Source organism: Homo sapiens, chromosome 12, assembly GCF_000001405.40.
Source record: "Homo sapiens chromosome 12, GRCh38.p14 Primary Assembly".
NCBI lineage: Eukaryota > Metazoa > Chordata > Mammalia > Primates > Hominidae > Homo > Homo sapiens.
Genome location: NC_000012.12, coordinates 9,741,684 through 9,763,095, shown reverse-complemented (window position 1 = coordinate 9,763,095; position 21,412 = coordinate 9,741,684). Strand labels below are relative to the sequence as shown.

The following is a 21,412-nucleotide window of genomic DNA, read 5'->3' as shown; positions in this document are numbered from 1 at the left end:
AAAAAATTTAGAATTCATAATTTTTCTTCATAGAAACATTATAAATTGGATGTTATATTTTTAGTTTACAGATAACAAAGCCAAAGCTCAGTGGACTTGTATGGTCAATTTCCTGAAGCACTACTGGCTTACTGCACTTACCTTCATTCTTTTCCTTAAAGAAGCTAAACTTCTTTTTATTTTATAGAGTGTGTTCTTGTTCTTGTTCTTTCTGTTCTCAAATTTTCAATGGTTAACTCTTTCCTCCCATTTTTATTTAATTCCACATATGACCTCCTCAACAAGACCATGCCTGATGACCTATATAAATGACCTCACATCCATTCCTATGTATTACCTGGTTCTTTGCATGTAGCAGCCTAAGGTCATACACTTCTCAACCAAACAATCCTACGAACCCCAATAAATAGCACTCCATATTTTAGAACTTTTAGAGTTTTATACATATTTTTCATTCATTCACGCATTCAGTAAGGGCATGGAATACATACTAGATTCCAGTTACTACGGCAGGTGTTAGAGGCACAGAGGAGACAAGTCAAAGCCCTTGCCCTCAAGCAGCTTACAGTCTAGTAAGGGAAACAGATAATAAACCATGATATAATATCAGATATTGACAGCAATCTGTACAGGCACAGAGTGTGAGGTTCTATTTTACATATAATAGCAACTGACAATTTCTCTGAGCAGGTGGCAGCTGAAGAGTGAGTCGGTTAAAGGGAGAGCGAGACATGCAGGGAGATGGAAAAAGAATCTTTTAGAGAAAAAGTAAAAGCCCTGTAGTGGTAGGATGCTTGGCATTTTTAAGGAGGAGGTTTCTGTCAGAGAGGATACTGAATAATAGGAAAAATGATAAGAGAGGTAACCAGGGGCCATATTATGTATAAAGCATTCTCAACTATTAGGTCTTTGGATTTTACGGTACATTTGATAGGAAGCCTTTCAAAGTGCAGTGGGGGGAGGAGTTAAACACTTCACCAAAATCATATGAATTAATTATAAAACAATGGTTCTAGCTGCTATGTGGAAAAGGGACTAAGAAATTGACTGAAAAATAGGATGGAAGCAAAGGGAGCTTTTAGGGCCAACATGTACCTCTTTGTGTCTTAGGTAGACAAATGCATCTAATGGTCCAACTAACTTCTCTAGATGATAACTTCCAACCCACCTATGCATAAAATTTAACGTCTTTATTCTAAATAAGTGATATTAATAATAAAATTTGGGGCACCAAGATTATTAATCAGAGTGGTATTTTGATTTCCCTCCTTAAATCACCATACATAGCTTTCTGCATTCATCTTGCGTTGACTGTCATTACTTGTCTGAGTGAGACTGATACCACAGCGATGTTTTAAATAATAATCATACCTCAAAAGACTGAAGTCTCAGAGGTATCTGAAGAGAATAACCTAGAGCACAGGGGGAGAATTGAAGGAGCTGTTACTGAGGTGACATAAAAGCAGTCTAAATGACAGTAAAATGTGACAAGAAAATTAGCAGGAAACAAATGAAACAGATAATTTAAGATAAACAATTTTAGAGCATAGCAAGGAAGTTCCAGACCACAAGCTTTCTGTTTCCTGCATTCTTACTTCTTACTACGTGATACATCTAGTCACCAGGGAAGAAGCGAATGACACACTTCCAAAAACCAATTCGTAGCTTTCTAAATAAAACCCTTTCAAGCTGGAGAGAGATCCATGAGCATAGAGATCTTAAAATTCATGTTCAGCAATAAATCCTGGGGCCCCAGACAGTGTCAGGTGCATAGGGGGTGTTCAGTAAATATCAGTTAAATGTATGCATAAATCGATAAACGGGATTCCTGGAAAATACTACACTCTCCTTCTCCAAATTATCTTCATCTCAAAGACAGGAACCTCTAACTTTTAATTCTTTACTTAGATTATGCTGTCTCCTAAACTGTTTATGTTTTCTAGAAATTTAAGGCAGGATGTCTCAGAGTCTGGGAAAATCCCACTTTCCTCCTGCTACACCTTACAGTTGTGAGAAAGCACATTTCAGACAACAGGGAAAACCCATACTTCACCACAACAACACACTATACATTGTCTGGTCCACTGGAGCATAAATTAAAGAGAAACAATGTAGTCAAGCAAGTAGGCGGCAAGAGGAAGGGGGCGGAGACATCATCAGGGAGTATAAACTCTGAGATGCCTCAGAGCCTCACAGACTCAACAAGAGCTCCAGCAAAGACTTTCACTGTAGCTTGACTTGACCTGAGATTAACTAGGGAATCTTGAGAATAAAGATGAGCTCTGAAAATTGTTTCGTAGCAGAGAACAGCTCTTTGCATCCGGAGAGTGGACAAGAAAGTAAGTCAGATCTGATTGCCTATTTACTCTCTGGTATCTCTATATATGACATTAATAGTAGTTATACAAGATATACTGGTAATCTCTCTATATATGATATATAATCTTAGAGAAATATACTGCTAATCTCTATGTATGTGATATCTAATGGTTGTTAGGGAAGGAAGTGAGGCTTTGTCTTTTAGAGAAGACAGGTTCTTCTTCAGGGAAGAGGTAAACCCCTTTTTATCTATAAGAAGATAGAATACCTGAGATGAGAGAAAGCCGCAAAAATGAATTTCAGAAGATCTTTAAAGATCTTTCTCTTTGCTTTAGTTTATATCATCTCAGTGTTTAGATTTAATTAGAAAACTTTCTGCTCTAGCCCAGTTATTCTCCATCATTTTTTTCATATCCATCTGTACATTCTCCAGGAAGTGTTGTCTCTCTTTATGAAAAATTCTGTTTTCCACATAAGCAATTACATTGTTTGCCTTCCTTTGCATTCAGTGTCTGCTTTCAGTGTACCTTATCCTGTGTTCTCATGACAGCATCCTCTAGTTGCTGGAAATGGGCAAGTTTGCCATCTTTGAGAGAATAGCTATATCAGCAGATGAAAATTTACAGTGTCCATTTGTAATTTGCTAAAAAAAAAAGTCACAAAAGAATTCCCGAAAATGCAATCTCCTGCTTTGGTATTCTTTATAGGACTCTTTTCCTCTATTTCATCCTTCTATTTAACCTTTCCAATCTCTGGCTTCAAAGACTATGTAACTTAGAATTTGTTCTTCCTTTCCTTTGTCTCTCAGCAAAATATAATCATCTTAGAAATTTTCCTCTCTTCTATTTGTCTATTCTATCCACATATCTAGCTTATTTCCTGTTACTGGGATTTTGCCTATTGTTTTTCTATACCTTACTTCTGTAAAATTTGTTGAGTTTTTCTATTTATCCCTCTTTCTCCTTAGTTAATGAGGTACCCTAAAGCACTAGCACTTAGGAATTAGTCTACTTGTCAGCAAGAGCGATCTATTAACAAAGGGATATGTAAGAAACAGGAGAACTAAAACAATCTTGTGGAAAGGGATTATTTTCTAAGCGTGTGTCTACTATATTAGTTTACTTCCGAAAAACATCAGTTACTTCTCATAAATCCATCCTGTGTTTAAGAACATAAAATATAGTGTGGATTACAAATGCAAAGCATGCAAATTTTCAGGTAATCAGGCGAGCCATTACTTACGGCACAGGTGTGCCGCCAAAAAGAAATAATAATAATAATAATAATAATAACTACTCAATAAATAGAGAGCATAGGTGAAAGAAGGACCTAATACAGAAATTTTTAACTTTTCCTGATACTGTTTCAACTTTCTTTTGAATGTCTGATTTAGGCTGCCCTAGTCATCCTTGGACGTTATCCTTGGGTGATTCAATTAGTAGCAAATTGAGTTGATTTTCAACTTCTCCATTAATGTGCAGGACCTGAAATCAAAGCAAAAGTGTGCTGTTGAGGGAAATGTTTTGTCACCTAGGAGATAAGTCAAGCTGTGGGTAACAATAGCCCTCAATTGTAATCCCAGCACTTTGGGAGGCCGAGGTGGGCGGATCACGAGGTCAGGAGATGGAGACCATCCTGGCTAACACGATGAAACCCCGTCTGTACTAAAAATACAAAAAGTTAGCCGGGCGTGGGGGCGGGCGCCTGTAGTCCCAGCTACTTAGGAGGCTGAGGCAGGAGAATGGCGTGAACCCGGGAGGCGGAGCTTGCAGTGAGCCGAGATCACGCAACTGCACTCCAGCCTGGACGACAGAGCGAGACTCCGTCTCAAAAAATAAATAAATAAAACAGTAGCCCTCATTAATGGGAATAAAGTATCATCTGAGAGTCATCCCAAAGCTTACTCCCTCGTTGAGCCGATGGGCTGACTGAGACTCTGGAACCCACGGGTCACTGGGGTGTGTTAGTGCTCACTGAGGAGACAGAGCTGTTGCAATACTGAGTTCAAGCAGCACGACTGACTCACATAATGTGAAGTGAAACCAGACAGAGCTCCGAACTTGGTACCTTGGGTAGCAAAGGCGGCTTCCAATGATGATTCTATACCGGTGAACAAAGAAAAATTTGCTTTGAGAAGCTGAGAAAATCGAGCTAGACGGCAGTGAAGTAAAGGCTTCTCTTGCAAAATCTGAGTGCCGATCTGTGATGGGAAAAATAACTTCCAGATAAAGCAAAAGTTGATGTGGACACCAGTACCCAGTAAATTACTGTGAAAAAAAGGCAACTTCTCTTGGTCCAGTTTACCTTTAGATAAATGTTTTAAGGGTAAAAATATGTGTATTTCAAGATATGTCTTATGTAAACTTTTTTAAGTTATGAAAATCATCCATATTGAAAAATAGAATGTTTTCTATTTTGAAACTGTTTTGCATTGTCAGTTACTTAAGCAGCCATTTTACATTTTGGTTTTTGAGAACATAATAGGGACCTGTATACTCCTTGTGGGGCCGCATTTTAAGACTCCTGACAGCTCATCCTGCAAAATTAAAATCCAAAATCTAAGTCGCAAAATTCTCTTTTCTCCTTCCTCAGTTATTTACTTAGAGTGTAGAACAGACATCCTCTTAGAGTTTTTTGTAACTATCAGTTATCGTTAACATCATATTTTTATTCTAAATCCTTCCATAGAAACACTGCTTGTTGGGAAAAAAAAAGGCTTTTACTTTGTTTCACCATTGTACAGAGGGTAAATGAAATAACTTTCGCTGAATATTTGGTCTATAATACTGTTACATTTCCTCTATTATTTTAACATCTTTTGAAAAATTCAAATTTTTACTGTTCATTCACATATCATTTTAAATTGAGGTTTAGTTCACATACGATGAATGCACAGCTCGTAGGTATACAGTTTAACGACTTATGACAGTGGTATAACCACAAGACCAGCAACATTTGAATCTTTCCATCACCCTAGACAGTTTGCCCTGTGTCCCATTCCAGTTAAATTACCTTTCCTACACACACAAAGGCAACTACTGTTCTGATTTTTGACACCAGAGCTTAGACCAACTATTATTTAAAGTCATGTAAATGCAAATATGTAGTATACAATCTTCTGTGGCTGGATTTTTTTTCACTCAACATTTTTTTTGGAGATTCCTTCATTTTGTTGCATGTATCAGTTGTCTTATTTTGAATTGCTGAGCGGAATTCCCTTGTATGGATATACCATAATTTGTTCACTTATTTTCCTGTTGGTGGATATTTGGATTATTTCTGGAATTTGGCTCTTAAGAATAAAGCTGCTAGGAGCATTCTTGCACAAGGCATTTTGAGAACATATTTTCATTTTTCTTGAGGATATACATAGGAGTAGGTTTGTTGGGCCATAGAAAAGGCATATATTTAATTTTATAAGAAACAGTTTCCAAAGTGTTTTTCCAATTTACTCTCCCACCAATAATATCTGAAAATTCCAGTTGCTCCACATCTGCAGCAACTTCACCAAAAAATACTGTCACGTTTAAAATTTTGTTCAGTCATTTTAATGTCAGATATTTATATAGCAATTCAATATTTTACTTTATGATATTATCCATATTTATCCCATTCACATCATTTCTCTCAAACAGTAACTACAAGGAGATTAAGGAATTATGCTAGAATTTTTTATTTATTTATTTATTTATTTTTTTAGACAAGGTCTCACTCTGTCACTCAGGTTAGAGTGCAGTGGTGCAATCTCCGCTCACAGCAACCTCTGCCTCCCAGGCTAAAGCGATCCTCCCACTTCAGACTCCCAAGTAGCTGGGAACACAAGTGCGTGCCACCATGACCAGCTAATTTTTTGTATTTTTGGTGGAGACAGGGTTTCACCATGTTGCTCATGATGGTCTTGAACTCCTGAGCTCAGGTGATCAATCCACTCACCTCGGCCTCCCAAAATGCTGAGATTACAGGTGTGAGCCACCATGCCCTAGAATTTTTTTATGTGTCTTCTGGGGCATGTGCATATTTAATAAACGTTCTTATCATCATTAAAACAAACTGATTATATACTTAGAATTTTCATAGTTACTAAGTGTATAAATCATATGTGTCAGGTAAATATTTTGGGGAGACACTTTATAATCTCATCATTATGCTTGAATTGTTTCATTTCAAGCCAACAATAAACTATTCAAATTCACTCAAAATTGGGGGTAAATTAACTTAGAAATTTCTATAAAGAGACGGGGAAATTTCATATAATGAGATAGGAAATATTAAGTTTAAATGCCTCAAAAGAATGTTGCATATTCCTATAGTACTTCTATAGTCTGCCTGAACTCATCATCAACTTTCTCCCTTCCAGATGATGCCACCAGTCCCCATTTCTCAACACGTCATGAAGGGTCCTTCCAAGTTCCTGTCCTGTGTGCTGTAATGAATGTGGTCTTCATCACCATTTTAATCATAGCTCTCATTGCCTTATCAGGTGGGTCTACACTTCATCAATTCTTTCAAAGCCTCCTAGCTGTAAGCATTCATGCCCAGCTGAAATCAATATTAGTTTAGTCTAGTTAATCAGAAACTAGCTAATTCAGAATCATCCCATGTACCATATATGGCCAATTTCCTAATCAATACTAAACATAATTCCACAATCCTTGAATAATTAATGTAATACTTTTATAAGTATTAAAAGTATCTATGATTTATATATTACTGTAGAATAAAATTGCATTTGAAAAGATGTTTACATCTAGAATGAAGGGAGCTGATTTGAATTCTGAATAAATACCTATTTAGCTAGAAAAAAATGTGAACTTCACATTCATTGATTATGGAAAAAAATCGTATCTAAAGCCATAGATTAATCAGGAAGTGGCCAGTCTTTTGTGTTTTATCTCAAAGGACACAGAATGGTAGTTCTGAATAATTAAGATTATATTTAAAAGTTCCCAGAGAGTCAGTAGTGATTTGGTATTCAATACCTCCAGCTGTACCAAGATATATTTGTATCTTTTACAAATGGGAATGTTTACCATTGTTTTGAGATATTCTGAGTCATATGTCTTTCTGTATTTTGAATTGGTTCCCTAAAAGTTAGTTACTCTCTCCATCTTTCCAGCCTAGTGCTATAAATACTGCATCTTCAAATTCTTCCGCCTCTGCATTCAGATTCAAAACCTTATTTGAAATGTATAATGCACTTTATCCTTTCTAGTCCAAAGAAATATCTAGTCCAAATTTTCAGAATTGTTCTATATTTCTGTCATTTTCTGACATTATGACCAAAAGTACATCCCCTCATCCTCATATCTCCATCCAATGATGATTAGGCACAATGGAAGATCAGATATGGTCCTGAGAACTTTCTTTCTTCATACCCTTTTCAGAATTCTACTTTTTAGCTTTTATCCTTTACTTTATCACCACCTAGCACAACATAGCATCCTAAGGCTAGTTTTGCATGCTGTGGGTATTTGGTTTCTTTTGTTACTAAAACAAAGCATTTTTCTGTTCACAGTGGGCCAATACAATTGTCCAGGCCAATACACATTCTCAATGCCATCAGACAGCCATGTTTCTTCATGCTCTGAGGACTGGGTTGGCTACCAGAGGAAATGCTACTTTATTTCTACTGTGAAGAGGAGCTGGACTTCAGCCCAAAATGCTTGTTCTGAACATGGTGCTACTCTTGCTGTCATTGATTCTGAAAAGGACATGGTAAGAATAAAAAAAAGATAAAATACTACTATTTTAATTCATATGGCTAATCAGTGCTTTCCTTCCGTTTCTAAGTGGAGAAAACAAACAAACAAACAAACATTGTACCTATTTCAGATGTAGGAAAATGTCATCCCAGAGAACCATATGATCAGCCTGAGGTCAAAATGAGATTTAATTTAATCTTTTAAATTTGATTTGATTGCTTAGCTTCAAAGACCAGAAATCCAAATATGCTGATCCTATATAGAATGAGTACATGGTCAGATAAGCTGTCATGCCTCAAGTTGCAGCTTTTGAGAAACAGGATTTACTATCTACTTCCCCAGAAGGGTGTTTAATGTAACAAACTCCTTTGTGCTTTCTTTAAGAACTTTCTAAAACGATACGCAGGTAGAGAGGAACACTGGGTTGGACTGAAAAAGGAACCTGGTCACCCATGGAAGTGGTCAAATGGCAAAGAATTTAACAACTGGTAAGTCTCCAGAAGTCTCTTTATATTCCCCAGGGTGGCATCTCAGGAAAATCACTTTCCTTTTCTCCTTTCAAAGCACTTTAAATATAAAGGCTGAGCTCTTCAAGAGCTCTAACAATCTCTTCTGAATGCGTATACTCTGGAATTCTTTAATAACAGGCTTTATTATTATTCTTTTTCTTTATCCACACTTATAATACATAAAATAAATGCTTATAGTAATTTTTCTCAGCAAACTCTAATGTGAGTAGTAGATCTGGTTAATTTGGAAATATTTCAATAATAATTATGATGATGCAACAAAAACCCATTTTCAATGTCACATTTAGTCTTTACTAATAAGACAGTTGCTGGAAAATAAATCCTTCTTACTATTTCTCAGTTTTCATCTCCACAGAATAAAGAATAGTTTCAATGCCTAATTATGAGTTTCTATACACCTGAAAGAAAATTTGCCCCAGAATTAGATACTCTATTTTCATTACCTTTAGTTAAAATACATTTAATGTTTGAAGATCATTTTATAAGTTTGCTGTTGATCATAATACTGATAAAGTATCGAGATTAAAATTCAGGTTTCTAGAAAAGGGATTCCTAATATTTGTCCTATGGCTCCATATCCACAGATGGGCTTCAGGAGCCATAAACCCCTTAAAGCTGTATGCACTAGTATGCATGGCTGTTGAATGCATACAATTTTGTGAAATTATTTATTGAAAAATCTATGAACTCAGAAATGACCAAGAATCACTTATCTGGTGCCATGCCAACCAAATGAATGGCGTGCTTTCCTCTTACTTCCATATTTTTTCTCCACATCCTATTTTTTTTTCAATTCTTGTCCATTGTCTCTACAGATTAGTCTATGATTATTTGACTTGTGTATCCCACTAAGAATTTAAAAGAAGCAGAGGTCACCATCTCCGAGTTCATTCTCATGTAACTGAATGAAAACAATGAGCTGAAAATAATTCTAAGTTTTTTTATTGTTTGACAGGTTCAACGTTACAGGGTCTGACAAGTGTGTTTTTCTGAAAAACACAGAGGTCAGCAGCATGGAATGTGAGAAGAATTTATACTGGATATGTAACAAACCTTACAAATAATAAGGAAACATGTTCACTTATTGACTATTATAGAATGGAACTCAAGGAAATCTGTGTCAGTGGATGCTGCTCTGTGGTCCGAAGTCTTCCATAGAGACTTTGTGAAAAAAAATTTTATAGTGTCTTGGGAATTTTCTTCCAAACAGAACTATGGAAAAAAAGGAAGAAATTCCAGGAAAATCTGCACTGTGGGCTTTTATTGCCATGAGCTAGAAGCATCACAGGTTGACCAATAACCATGCCCAAGAATGAGAAGAATGACTATGCAACCTTTGGATGCACTTTATATTATTTTGAATCCAGAAATAATGAAATAACTAGGCGTGGACTTACTATTTATTGCTGAATGACTACCAACAGTGAGAGCCCTTCATGCATTTGCACTATTGGAAGGAGTTAGATGTTGGTACTAGATACTGAATGTAAACAAAGGAATTATGGCTGGTAACATAGGTTTTTAGTCTAATTGAATCCCTTAAACTCAGGGAGCATTTATAAATGGACAAATGCTTATGAAACTAAGATTTGTAATATTTCTCTCTTTTTAGAGAAATTTGCCAATTTACTTTGTTATTTTTCCCCAAAAAGAATGGGATGATCATGTATTTATTTTTTTACTTCCTCAGCTGTAGACAGGTCCTTTTCGATGGTACATATTTCTTTGCCTTTATAATCTTTTATACAGTGTCTTACAGAGAAAAGACATAAGCAAAGACTATGAGGAATATTTGCAAGACATAGAATAGTGTTGGAAAATGTGCAATATGTGATGTGGCAAATCTCTATTAGGAAATATTCTGTAATCTTCAGACCTAGAATAATACTAGTCTTATAATAGGTTTGTGACTTTCCTAAATCAATTCTATTACGTGCAATACTTCAATACTTCATTTAAAATATTTTTATGTGCAATAAAATGTATTTGTTTGTATTTTGTGTTCAGTACAATTATAAGCTGTTTTTATATATGTGAAATAAAAGTAGAATAAACACAATGGTTTCCAAGAAAGTTCATTCCTTCAAAATACATTAAAAAGTATATACTATATGAGAAAGCAGAAAACAGTTACTATAACTTAGGAAAAAATCCCATGTAGAGTAAAACCCTTAGTTTTATAATAGCTTATACATATCAAATTGTTTTCATATGCTTATATGCTAAAGGGTGTATGTATCCATATCCATTTTTCTGTATATAGCAGATGCTCTGTAATAATTACTCCTCATAGTCAATGCTCTGAAAGTATCTTGTTCAATTCTGAGGTGCTACATACACTTTAGTTATTTATGTAAAATAATTCAATATATAGAAAAGAGGCATAATCTTCATGGGATATTTCAATCAGCAAAAAACTCAATGATGTAGTTTGGATGTGTGTCCCTGCCCAAATCTCATGTCGCATTGTAATCCCCTTTGTTGGAGGTGGGGCCTGGTGGGAGGTGATTACATCATGGGAGCGAATCTCTCATGAATGGTTTAGCATCATCCTCTTGATGGTCTCCTTGCACCTGAGTGAGTTCTCAGGAGATCTGGTCTTTTCAAAGTGTGCAGCACTTTCTCTCTCTCTCTCTCTCTTTCTCTCTCTCTTTCCTGCTTTCTCCATGTGACATGCCTGCTCCCACTCCACTTCACCTTCCAACATACATAAAAGCTCCCTAAGCTTCCGCGGAAGCTGAGCAGTGTCAGCATTATGCTTGTAAAAACTGCAGAACCGTAAGCCAATTAAGCCTTTTTTCTTTATAAATTACCCAGTCTCAGATATTTTTATAGCAATGCAAGAATAGCCTAATACATTTGATTACCTTCAAAATTGTTTTATAAATGTAATTTGCAATATTCTTCTCTGCTTGTTGGAAATGTATGATGTGTATGGTATCTCTAAACTATTGGCAAACGGCAAACAGAAATGTGGATTTCAGACACTGCTTAGTGAAAAATAATGACCTCTGTGCTCCTGAGTTCCCACAGCTGTGGGAAAAAAGAAACAAGCAGCCTCCTAGCGGTAATATTCTATCATTACCAACAATCTACTCCCGAGTCATCTTAGAAAACAATGTCTTGCGATTAATATTTTAGTTATAACATATTTTTATGTGCATAAATCTAATCAAATTATGAAAATTGAGAGCAAGCTTAAAAATATTTCTATATTAGTATGACACAATTTTTAAGTCATTGAATACTGACTGTATCACCTAACAATTCAATGAATTTTATCATTTTTACAAATAATTTTATTGAATCCCTATAATTATGTGAAATGAGCAGCTGATGTATTTCCCTTTCCAGAGGAAGAAGTTGAAATTATGTTGAAAAAGCGACGCAAAACACGGATAACAGAGTTATTTTTTACACATAATTTGAAGTCATTTTATTCATAAGGACAACTGTTTTCTTTAAATAGATAAAAAATATACAATTCTTAAAGGGAATAATGTTATTATTTAAAGTATGACTCTACTTGCAAGTGACCAATGACAAATATAAAAAATGGGTTTGTCTCAAGAACCCCTCCTGCCCCCGGCTAAGTCCCCTGTTACAAAAGTTGCAGTGCCATCTAGTGGTTATACGAGATTACTGCACTTCTGTTTTAAGGATCCTACAAAACATCTATGTGGAGCGTGGAGCTGCTGAGACCCAAAGCACGGGGGCCAGACCGCCCGAGTTTCATCTCTGCCACGCGCGGGCTGACTAGCTATTTTATCAGAACTCGTTCAAAATTCAGCTAAAATTAGTTAGATGTTAAATTAGTTAGTACATGAAAACAAACTTAAAACATTATCTGGCTCCCTAGTACACCATAGGCATGTATTAAATACTCATGATGATTATTAGAACTAGAAACACTATGTCTTCAAACTTCCAGTATTGGCATAAAGCCGCGTTTCTACACGACATGTCTATTTCTACGTAATATATCTTATTTGTATTTGTTTTTGGAAAGCCTTTTAAAAATTTCATTTCACAAGTTATAAGTAAGCACCTACTACTATGGTGGACACCAGAGTTAAAATACTCAGCAAATTCCGCATGGCAACTGGCCTTGTGGAATTCGTGGTCTATTTGTAAAACAAACAACAAGATGAATTGACATGGTGTGATGAATGTTATAATAGGAAAAACGTAGGGTGCTATGGAAGCATATTAAAGATATACTCCTGTATTCAAACCTTTAGCTAATTATCAAAATTTTAACTCTGTAGGCTACATTCATCTTGGATAGTTACATAAATATGTGTAAAATAAAACTATCAGTTATCCGTGTTTTGCGTTGCTTTTTCAACATAATTTCAATTTCTTCCTCTGGAAAGGGGAATACATCAGCTGCACATTTCACATAATTGTAGGGATTGGATAAAACTTTTTAAAAAGGCTAAAATGCCATTGAACTGTTAGGTGCTATAGTCAGTATTCAACTACTTAAAAATTGTATGATACTAATATAGAAATGATATTTTTAAGCTTGCTGTCAATTTTCATAATTTGATTAGATTTTGCACATGAAAATGTATTATAACTGAAATTAAAATGTAAATGATTTTTCAGGGAAAAATATTGGGAAATATATGACCAGAACGACTGCTGGTGATGGTGTAAACTGGTTTCCTTTACCCTTTGGAAAGCAGCTTGACAATACTTACTGGGGAGGGAGGGAGATTTTAAAGAAATAATCTTGGATGTGCAAGACATAACCACAAAAATGTTTATCAAAGGGATATTTCTAGTAGTGAAAAATCAGAAGCTACCTAATTGTCCAAAACCAAAGATTTAGTTAAATAAATATAATGCTCCTACATGATGAAATGCTATCCCAACATTAAAAAATAATGAAGAACATTTATGTATATGAAAGAATACTCAAACTATTATTGCTGCTAGTTTAAAATAATATATACAATAGGATTATTTCCTGTTCAATATTAAATATACAAAACATGTTTTATATTTCTATATGCTGACAGAAAGTAAAACTACTAAAGTAAACACAGTGGTTTTCCCTGAGGAGGAGGAATATAGGAAGTATTTATTTTCTTTATGTTTTTCTATAATTTTGGATCTCTTTCTTTCTTTCCTTTCTTTTTCTTTTCTCTTTTTTCTTTCTTTCTTTCTTCTTTTTTTCCTTTTTTTTTTTTTTCCGAGTCTCACTCTGTCGCCCAGGCTGGAATGCTGTGGCTCGATCTCCGCTCACTGCAGCTTCTGCCTCCCGGGTTCAAGCAATTCTCCTGCCTCAGCGTCCCGGGTAGCTGGGATTACAGGCGCGCACCACCACGCCCGGCTAATTTTTGTATTTTTAGTAGAGACGGGGTTTCACCATGTTGGCCAAGCTGGTCTCGAACGCCTGACGTCAAGTGATCCGCCGGCTTCAGACTCTCAAAGTGCCGGGATTACCCGCGTGAGCCACCGCGCCCGGCCAATTTTGAATTTTCCTATAATGAAATTATTTTATTCTTAAGAAAAAGTGTTTTCTTTAAATAGATACAAATATATAATTCTTAAAGGGAATAGTTTTATTATTTAAAGCATGACTCTACTGTCTGGTGACCAATTACAAATACGAAAAATGAGTTTATTTCAAGAACCCCTCCTGCCTGTCTTAAAGATCTCTGTTGCAAAAGCTGCAGTGCCATCTAGTGACTGTATGAGATTACTGCACTTCTGTGTTAAGTCATTGTCAAAGGACATTAAAAAATAATTTCTTGCTGGCTATAATTAACAATAATATATTGCACATTTCAAAATCGCGAAGCAAATAAATTTCAAATGTTCTCACAATGAAAAATTATAAGTATTTGATGGTGATTGATATGGTAATTAGCTTGACTGAATCATTCCACATTGTGTACAAATAACACTACATTATACCCCACAAATAGATACAATTATAATTTGTCAATTTACAATAAATTTTTAAAATATATCTTGGTTATTTTTTACACTCAAGTGGCTTGTGTGTGTGTGGATGATGATTCTTGGTTTCTTTTGTGGAAAGATGTGGCAGTCACCACTCTCTCAACACTACATTTTGTATTTTTTCTAGTTATAAAGGAAATGGCATAATCTAGAAAAGTAAAACTTAACCTTTGATAATGCTGCACCCCATTCATATTTCTCAATATTTGTAATGCCAAATTTAAAATGTAATTAAAATAATGCATGTAAAAGTGTTTCGTCTATGCTAAAGAACTACATTACCATAAGTTGACTTGCTTCCAAATTTCTAGGTTCTGAGACCTGAAGTTCACATTATTTTCTCCTTATTTTACATATACTTACCAATAACTTGAAACCAACAAACAAAAATCTGCACATTATAAACTTAAAATTACAGATTTCTAGTTTTCAAAAGACATCATGGACAGAATGACAAGTCGTCACAGAGTGGAAGACATTCTAACACGTATAATTGATAAAGGAATCTGTCTCTCCCCACCCCCATCATCTATCTATCTATCTATCTATCTATCTATCTATCTATCTATCTATCAATCATCTATCTATCTATCTATCATCTATCATGTACCTAGACAACAAATCAATAATACAATGACTGTTGATCTTAAGAAGCTAAGAGAGGCTCTCAGTCCTCAGCCAAGAAGAAAAGGAAACTTCAGCACTATAGTCGAATAAACTGGTTTTGCTAACAACCTGAAGAAGCTTTGTATTACACTTTTTTTGCATTGCTATAAAGAATTCCCTGTCCAGGTGCAGTGTATCATGCCTGTTATCCCAGGACTTTGGGAGGCCGAGGTGGGTGGATCCCTTGAGCTCAGGAGTTCGAGACCAGCCTGGACAACATGATGAAACCCAGTCTCTACTAAAAATACAAAAATTAGCCGGGCATGGTGGCATGTGCCTATCATCCCAGATACATAGGAGTTTGAGGTGGAAGGACCACCTGAGCCTGGGAGGTAGAGGTTGCAGTGGACTGGGATTGCCACTGCACTAGAGCCAGGGCAACAGAGTGAGGATGCTGTAAAAAAGAAGAAAGAAAGAAAAAGAAGGAAGAGAAGGAAGGAAGGAAGGAAGGAAGGAAGGAAGGAAGGAAGGAAGGAAGGAAGGAAAGGAGGGAGGCAGGGAAAAAAGGAGGAAGAAAGGGAGGGAAGGAAGGAAGACCTGAGGATGGGTAATTCATAAAGAAAAGAGGTTTAATTGGTTCATGGTTCTGCAGGCTGCACAGTCATGACTCTAGCACTTGCTCTTGGTGAGGCCTCAGGAACCTTACAATTATGGCAATGCGGAGCCACCATGTGAAGAGAGCCGGGGGGAAAGTGCCACATGCTCTCACCAGATCTTGCCTGAACTCACAGTGAGATCTCATTTATTACCAAGGGGATAGCACTAAGCCATCATGAGGGATCTTCCCCATGATCCAAAGACATCCCCCAAGGCTCCTCTCCAACACTGGGATTACATTTCAACATGAGATTTGGAGAGGACAAACATCCAAACTATTTCAAGCTTAAAAGCAGATTTTTCCCCAGAGCTTCCAGAAAACAACCAGGTCCTCGAATTTGGCCTTATAGGACCCTAAACAGAAAACCAACTGTGCCTGGACTTCTGAGCTATAGAAACCGCAAGATAATCATGTGCCGTTTTAAGCTGCTAAATTTGTGGTAATTTGTTACAGCAGCAATATAAAAAAATAGTATCTTTAAAAATTTTTATTTTCAGTTTGTTTCTGAGAAACAGAAATACAATTGATTCTTTTATATTGAATTTGTATCCAGCTGCCTTATAAACTCCTTTATTACTTCTAATAATTTATCGATAGATTTTCTTGGATTTTCTATAAACAGAATCATATCCATGGTAAATGTGTGCTGTATTTTTCTTTCCAAAGTTTTATAACCTAAAAATCATATTGTATCTGTTAACATCGTGAACAATGATGTTAAGTGGAAATGATAACAGTGAGTACCTTGTCTTGTTCCCAATGTCAAAGGCAAAGTTTTTAATATGCTACCATTAACTGTAATGTTTGTTCTAGCTTTGTTTACTTGTTAGGTTGACTGGTTGTTTTGGGGGGAGATGCTGAGAATAGATATTATTAGATTAAGAATTATTTCTTCTGTGAAATTAATTTTAGTTACTGTGGATTTTAGTTCTAGAGTTTCCATCTTCTCCTTTTTCAAACTTTCCAAGTTTCAGTCCAAATTCTAATATATTCATTTTATTTCCAGGAGTTCATTTTAAATATATTAGTATTTTAAAAATATTTTATGTTGTTACATTTTAAATACTATATAGGTATGTAAATTTAAGAAATGATTTATTTAAAATTTAAATATGTATTGACTTAAATCTGATTTTTTGAAATAATATTTGAACATGCTTACTTTAAAGTCTGTGTGTGATACTGCATTTTCTAGAGCCCTTGGAATTTCTTAACCACTGCCTGTTATTTCTATTTGTAACTTTTAATGTCATCTTTTCTATTTATGTACCCAGTTATTTATTTCGTGTTGTTGTTGAGTGCTGGACTTTTGTCTTAAAAAAAAGAAAAAAAGAAAAAAACTGAGGCTAGGCACAGTGGCTCACACCTGTAATCCCAGCACTTTGGGAGGCCGAGTCAGGCGGATCACCTGAGATCAGGAGTTCAAGACCAGCCTTGCCATAATGGTGAAACCCTGTCTCTACTAAAAAAACAAAACTTAGCCAGGCATGGTGGCATAAACCCGTAATCCCAGCTACTCAGGAGGCTGAGACACCGGAATCCCTTAAACCTGGGAGGTGGAGGTTGCAGTGAGCTGGGATCACGCCACTGCATTCCAGCCTGGGCAACAGAGCAAGACTCCATCTCAAAACAAAAGAAAAAAATATAGTAATTATTTGAAAACTAGAATCATGTTATATTCTTTGACCAAGATGGCCTTAATGTTTCCCTCAGACTTCTTTTTGTCTGTGAATCCATGATTTTTCTTTTCTTGGATCATTTAGGAAAGTAATTACAAATTCTTTCTCTGCTTCTTTGAAACATAAATCTTCTCCCAGCCTCTTTCCAGTTTTACAGCCCAGGAATGTCTTTCTCAAAGACCTGGGAGCCAGGCTTTTGGAATGTAACCATCAAGCGAGACAGTGCCCCTACTTCCGGCTTCTGTGGAAGCACAGGAACCTCACTTCAATGAGCTTCAATTAACAACTACCGATGACCTAATCACATTGACCAGAGTCCCCTCAACATGCTCTGGTCCTTTTCCACCAGCTCACTCCAGTATTTAAACATCTTCCCACTTCAGCATAATTGGATTCAATTACTCTCTTCTATTACAATGGTCTTGAATAAAATCTTTCTTCCCTGTTTAGTTTGTATGATGCAATTTTTCTTTGACAAAAAAAGTACCTGCAGGAAGAACGTAAATGTGCTTCTAGAAAATCATCACAGCCATTAGCAATCTACGATCAACTTTCCTTCAGTTTTAGTAATGGAAAGGATTTGAAGGTGAGTTTCACCTCCTTCAAGAGCCAATCTACTCTTAGATTAGTCTTATTCCTAGGGCAGTGTTTTTCTACCTGGGATGGGGTAATTTTATCCCTCAAAGGGTATTTAGCAATGTCTAGACATATTTGTGATTGTTCGACTTGGTGAAGGGTCAGTGTCAGGGTAGGTGAGATGGGGGAAGAGGCTGGCTACTGGCATCTACGGGATGAAAGTAAAGGATGCTGCCAAACATCTTACGATGCGCTGCACAGCCCCTGCAAGAAAGAATAATATGACTCAAAGTGCCAATGATGTCAAGATCGGAAGATTTTGTCTGGGGTGCAGCTTTTGGTGAACTAACTAGAACTATTAATTTTTTCATCCCACCCCTACTTGGAGACTGGAGTTACTCTAGCACCGAAGACTGCCAAGAGCCCTGCTTGACTCCTTAGCTTTTTCATCTGTAAGATTTTCTGTTGGAAAAGCAGCTCTTATTTCTGGGTTTCAGTTATCTCTTGGATTAGTATTGTTTTATTTTTCAATAGCATGTAATTTCATTGATGCCTTTATGATGGTTTGAGGCTGAGTGCAGTGGCTCGTGCCTGTAATCCCAGCACTTTGGGAGGCCAAGGTGGGAGGATTGCTTGAGCCCAGGAGTTTGAGGCTGCAGTGAGCTGTGATTGCACCACTGTACTTGAGCCTGCGTGACAGAGTGGGACCCAGTCTAAAAAATTAAATTAAATTAAATTAACGATTTGAAACATTTTGTCTAGACTCTCCAATTGTCCTCAGTGGAAAGAGGGTTGGTAATACCCTTTTTGTAATAAAAAAGCTATCCACACTTTTTGTAATAGCCAAATAAAATAACTTGAAGTCTCATTCTGCCTTTAAAAATATATTTTTCTGAGTAATCCTGAGAATTCTCAGAGGGTACTTAAAAACTTGTTTGTTGCTTATTAATTCTCTCTCTTAACTGTTGCTCCAGTCTGCTCCACTGGTCATATCTTGTTGATTTATCGCTGGTTCTGTATGATGTGGTCTTCAACCCACACTACTTTGCTAAGTTTTAGCACTCTTGCTCCCTGTATTATCCAAAGCACCAAAATAATAAAAGTAACAAAGTGTGTACCAGATGGCGGTAATTACAATAAGGATGATTAAAATACGACAATAATTATAACATCTCTATAGTGTTTCTATATGCCAGACACTAAATGTTTTACATATAATTCATGTAATCTCCAAAACGGCCCTGTGACTTAGATCTAATATCTCATTTAATATGTAACAAAACCAAGTCACAAATAATTGCTTTACCGGAAGTCTTTAAATTTCAGATCTACGCTTCACAGCCAGGCAATCTGACACTTTGGAAAAACATGACGTATTTTGACACTCAAAAATATAGGACGTTGGATGGGAATGGTGGCTCATGCCTGTAATCCCAGCACTTTGGGAGGCCAAGGCGAGTGGATCACCTGAAGTCAGGAGTTTGAGACCAACCTGGCCAACATGGTGAAAACCCACCTCTACTAAAAATACAAAAATTAGCCAGGCGTGGTGGCAGGTGCTTATAATCCCAGCTACTCGGGAGGCTGAGGCAAGAGAATCACTTCAACCTGGCAGGGGGAGGTTGCAGCGAGCTGAGATCCTGCCACTGCACTCCAGCCTGGGTGACAGAGAGAGACTCTGTCTCAAATTATATATATATTTAAAGCTGAATGCCTGGTTTCATTTTTGTCAAAGTTTATGGCAACTTCAATCACACAGGGCCCCCTACTGGCAGAACACCTCCTTTTCTTCCAGCTTGCACTGTTGCTGAAGCTTGCCTACTCACTTCCAGACTATTTAAATTCGTCTACTCTTTCCATAATTTCTGAGGGTGTTTGTCAAAAACACCAGGGATAATTGTTTAACTTCCGGAGGCAGCAATATAATAAAAACTGAGACAAAGAGCTGATGAAAACTTAAAAAAAAAAAAACTGGAAATGAGATGTCTATAGTAGGCTTCAAAATCTCCAACATATTTCTTGGAATCTTGAAGGTTGTGCAAAAGCACAGGGCAGTGTGAATGTCCAGGGCTGTATACAGGTTCAGGAGTTACCTGACAAGAACCTAAGCTCTCACCTCTGGCTGACCTCGAAGCTCAGCCTGTGCAGTGTGAATGTACAGGGCTGTAAACAGGTTCAGGAGTTACCTGAGAAGAACCTAAGCTCTCACCTCTGGCTGACCTCGAAGCTCAGCCTGTGCAGGAAGTGAAGGAACAGCACAGCGAACTGCTTGCTGAGGGTCCAGGGTGTGCCCCCAAGTGCACGCAAAGTCTCTCAGCAAAGAATGGGAGAGTGAGAGTTTTCAAACTCATGAATCGGTTTAAAAAGACAGGCAACAACAAATGTTTAAGTGAGAAAAAGACTACAGAAGTGATTTCCCAGAAAAAGGACACCAAAATGGCAAAAAAGCTTATCAAAACACTCAAATTCGTCATCAGAGAAATGAAAAAACTTAAAGGAGTCACTACACACCAACTAGAATATCTAAAATTTTTAAAGAAATAAACAGAAATAAAATCTGAGAATACCAAAGGTTGGTGAGAATTTAGATCAACTGAAATGTTCATAAACCTGAAGGAAGTTCAAATTAATAACCATCTTAATTTGGTCATCTCTACTAAAGCTGCACATCAGCATACTCTGTGAACCAGGAATTCCACTCACTCGTTAATAGAAACAAACATGTATGTGCACCCAAAGACAGGAATCAATATTCATAGCAGTTTTATTCATAATAGCCCTGAATTGGAATCAGATGTCCATCAACTATAAAATAGATAAATGTTGCAGCATCCATACAAGAAGCACTATACCCGTTACACATGCAAAAACACAAACAAATATCAGAAACCTACTGATAAGCAAAGAAGCCAAACATAAATGATCACGAGATTGTGTGATTCCATTTGTATGAAGTTTTTTAAAACCCTAGAATGACAAAGACAAACCAGCCTAACACAAATTGCTGCAAAACCTGAAAATGCTTCTTCACCGCCCATTTCAGTGTGGTTAGACCACTGATTCATCATCTCTGTTTCTTAGTAAAACTAAATGCTTATTTATGTCAATGTAACATCTTATTTCAAGTGGCACTTCCTCTCTGATGCACCTGTGGGCTGCGGTAAAATCTCATGCGTGCTCTGTTGGGGCATTTTTGTTTTGTATATCAATTGTCAGTAAATTACTTACTTATTGACATACTAGAAAATCAGCTCCCTGAAGGGAGGACATCATTTTTAATCTCAACTTCCAGTTTCAGGGAAAGCAATATAGTTTAACCATTGTATTTATAGGCTTTGGTGTCAAGTAATCTGGTTTCAAATTTCT

The 21,412-nt window shown here is 36.5% G+C and overlaps 1 protein-coding gene across 1 annotated transcript, besides 6 other annotated features; it reads left to right on the top strand.

Moving 5' to 3' along the window:
- Positions 1,586-1,665: an enhancer, noted in NCBI's record as "active region_5956". NCBI's record gives its function as "activates an Ori minimal core promoter by ATAC-STARR-seq in GM12878 lymphoblastoid cells {active_cell/tissue: GM12878}" and the evidence as "EXISTENCE:reporter gene assay evidence [ECO:0000049][PMID:35858748]".
- On the top strand, positions 2,195-10,610 carry CD69 (CD69 molecule). The gene is made up of 5 exons (NM_001781.2): positions 2,195-2,339; positions 6,677-6,799; positions 7,835-8,034; positions 8,406-8,509; positions 9,507-10,610. The coding sequence occupies exons 1-5, from the start codon at positions 2,276-2,278 to the stop codon at positions 9,613-9,615; spliced, it is 600 nt and encodes a 199-aa protein (NP_001772.1). The 5' UTR covers positions 2,195-2,275; the 3' UTR covers positions 9,616-10,610.
- Positions 4,011-4,230: an enhancer, noted in NCBI's record as "active region_5955". NCBI's record gives its function as "activates an Ori minimal core promoter by ATAC-STARR-seq in GM12878 lymphoblastoid cells {active_cell/tissue: GM12878}" and the evidence as "EXISTENCE:reporter gene assay evidence [ECO:0000049][PMID:35858748]".
- Positions 11,549-11,628: a silencer, noted in NCBI's record as "silent region_4235". NCBI's record gives its function as "represses an Ori minimal core promoter by ATAC-STARR-seq in GM12878 lymphoblastoid cells {active_cell/tissue: GM12878}" and the evidence as "EXISTENCE:reporter gene assay evidence [ECO:0000049][PMID:35858748]".
- Positions 12,089-12,383: an enhancer, noted in NCBI's record as "tiled region #11505; HepG2 Activating DNase matched - State 12:CtcfO, and K562 Activating DNase unmatched - State 5:Enh". NCBI's record gives its function as "activates a minimal TATA promoter and a strong SV40 promoter by Sharpr-MPRA in HepG2 and K562 cells {active_cell/tissue: HepG2 | K562}" and the evidence as "EXISTENCE:reporter gene assay evidence [ECO:0000049][PMID:27701403]".
- Positions 19,727-19,796: an enhancer, noted in NCBI's record as "active region_5954". NCBI's record gives its function as "activates an Ori minimal core promoter by ATAC-STARR-seq in GM12878 lymphoblastoid cells {active_cell/tissue: GM12878}" and the evidence as "EXISTENCE:reporter gene assay evidence [ECO:0000049][PMID:35858748]".
- Positions 19,817-19,886: an enhancer, noted in NCBI's record as "active region_5953". NCBI's record gives its function as "activates an Ori minimal core promoter by ATAC-STARR-seq in GM12878 lymphoblastoid cells {active_cell/tissue: GM12878}" and the evidence as "EXISTENCE:reporter gene assay evidence [ECO:0000049][PMID:35858748]".

Coding starts and splice junctions, on each gene's coding strand:
- CD69 (NM_001781.2), top strand. CDS start 2,276: ATGAGCTCTGAAAATTGTTTCGTAGCAGAGAACAGCTCTTTGCATCCG. Junction 8,035..8,405: donor TTGATTCTGAAAAGGACATG/GTAAGAATAAAA, acceptor GCTTTCTTTAAG/AACTTTCTAAAACGATACGC. Junction 8,510..9,506: donor GGCAAAGAATTTAACAACTG/GTAAGTCTCCAG, acceptor ATTGTTTGACAG/GTTCAACGTTACAGGGTCTG.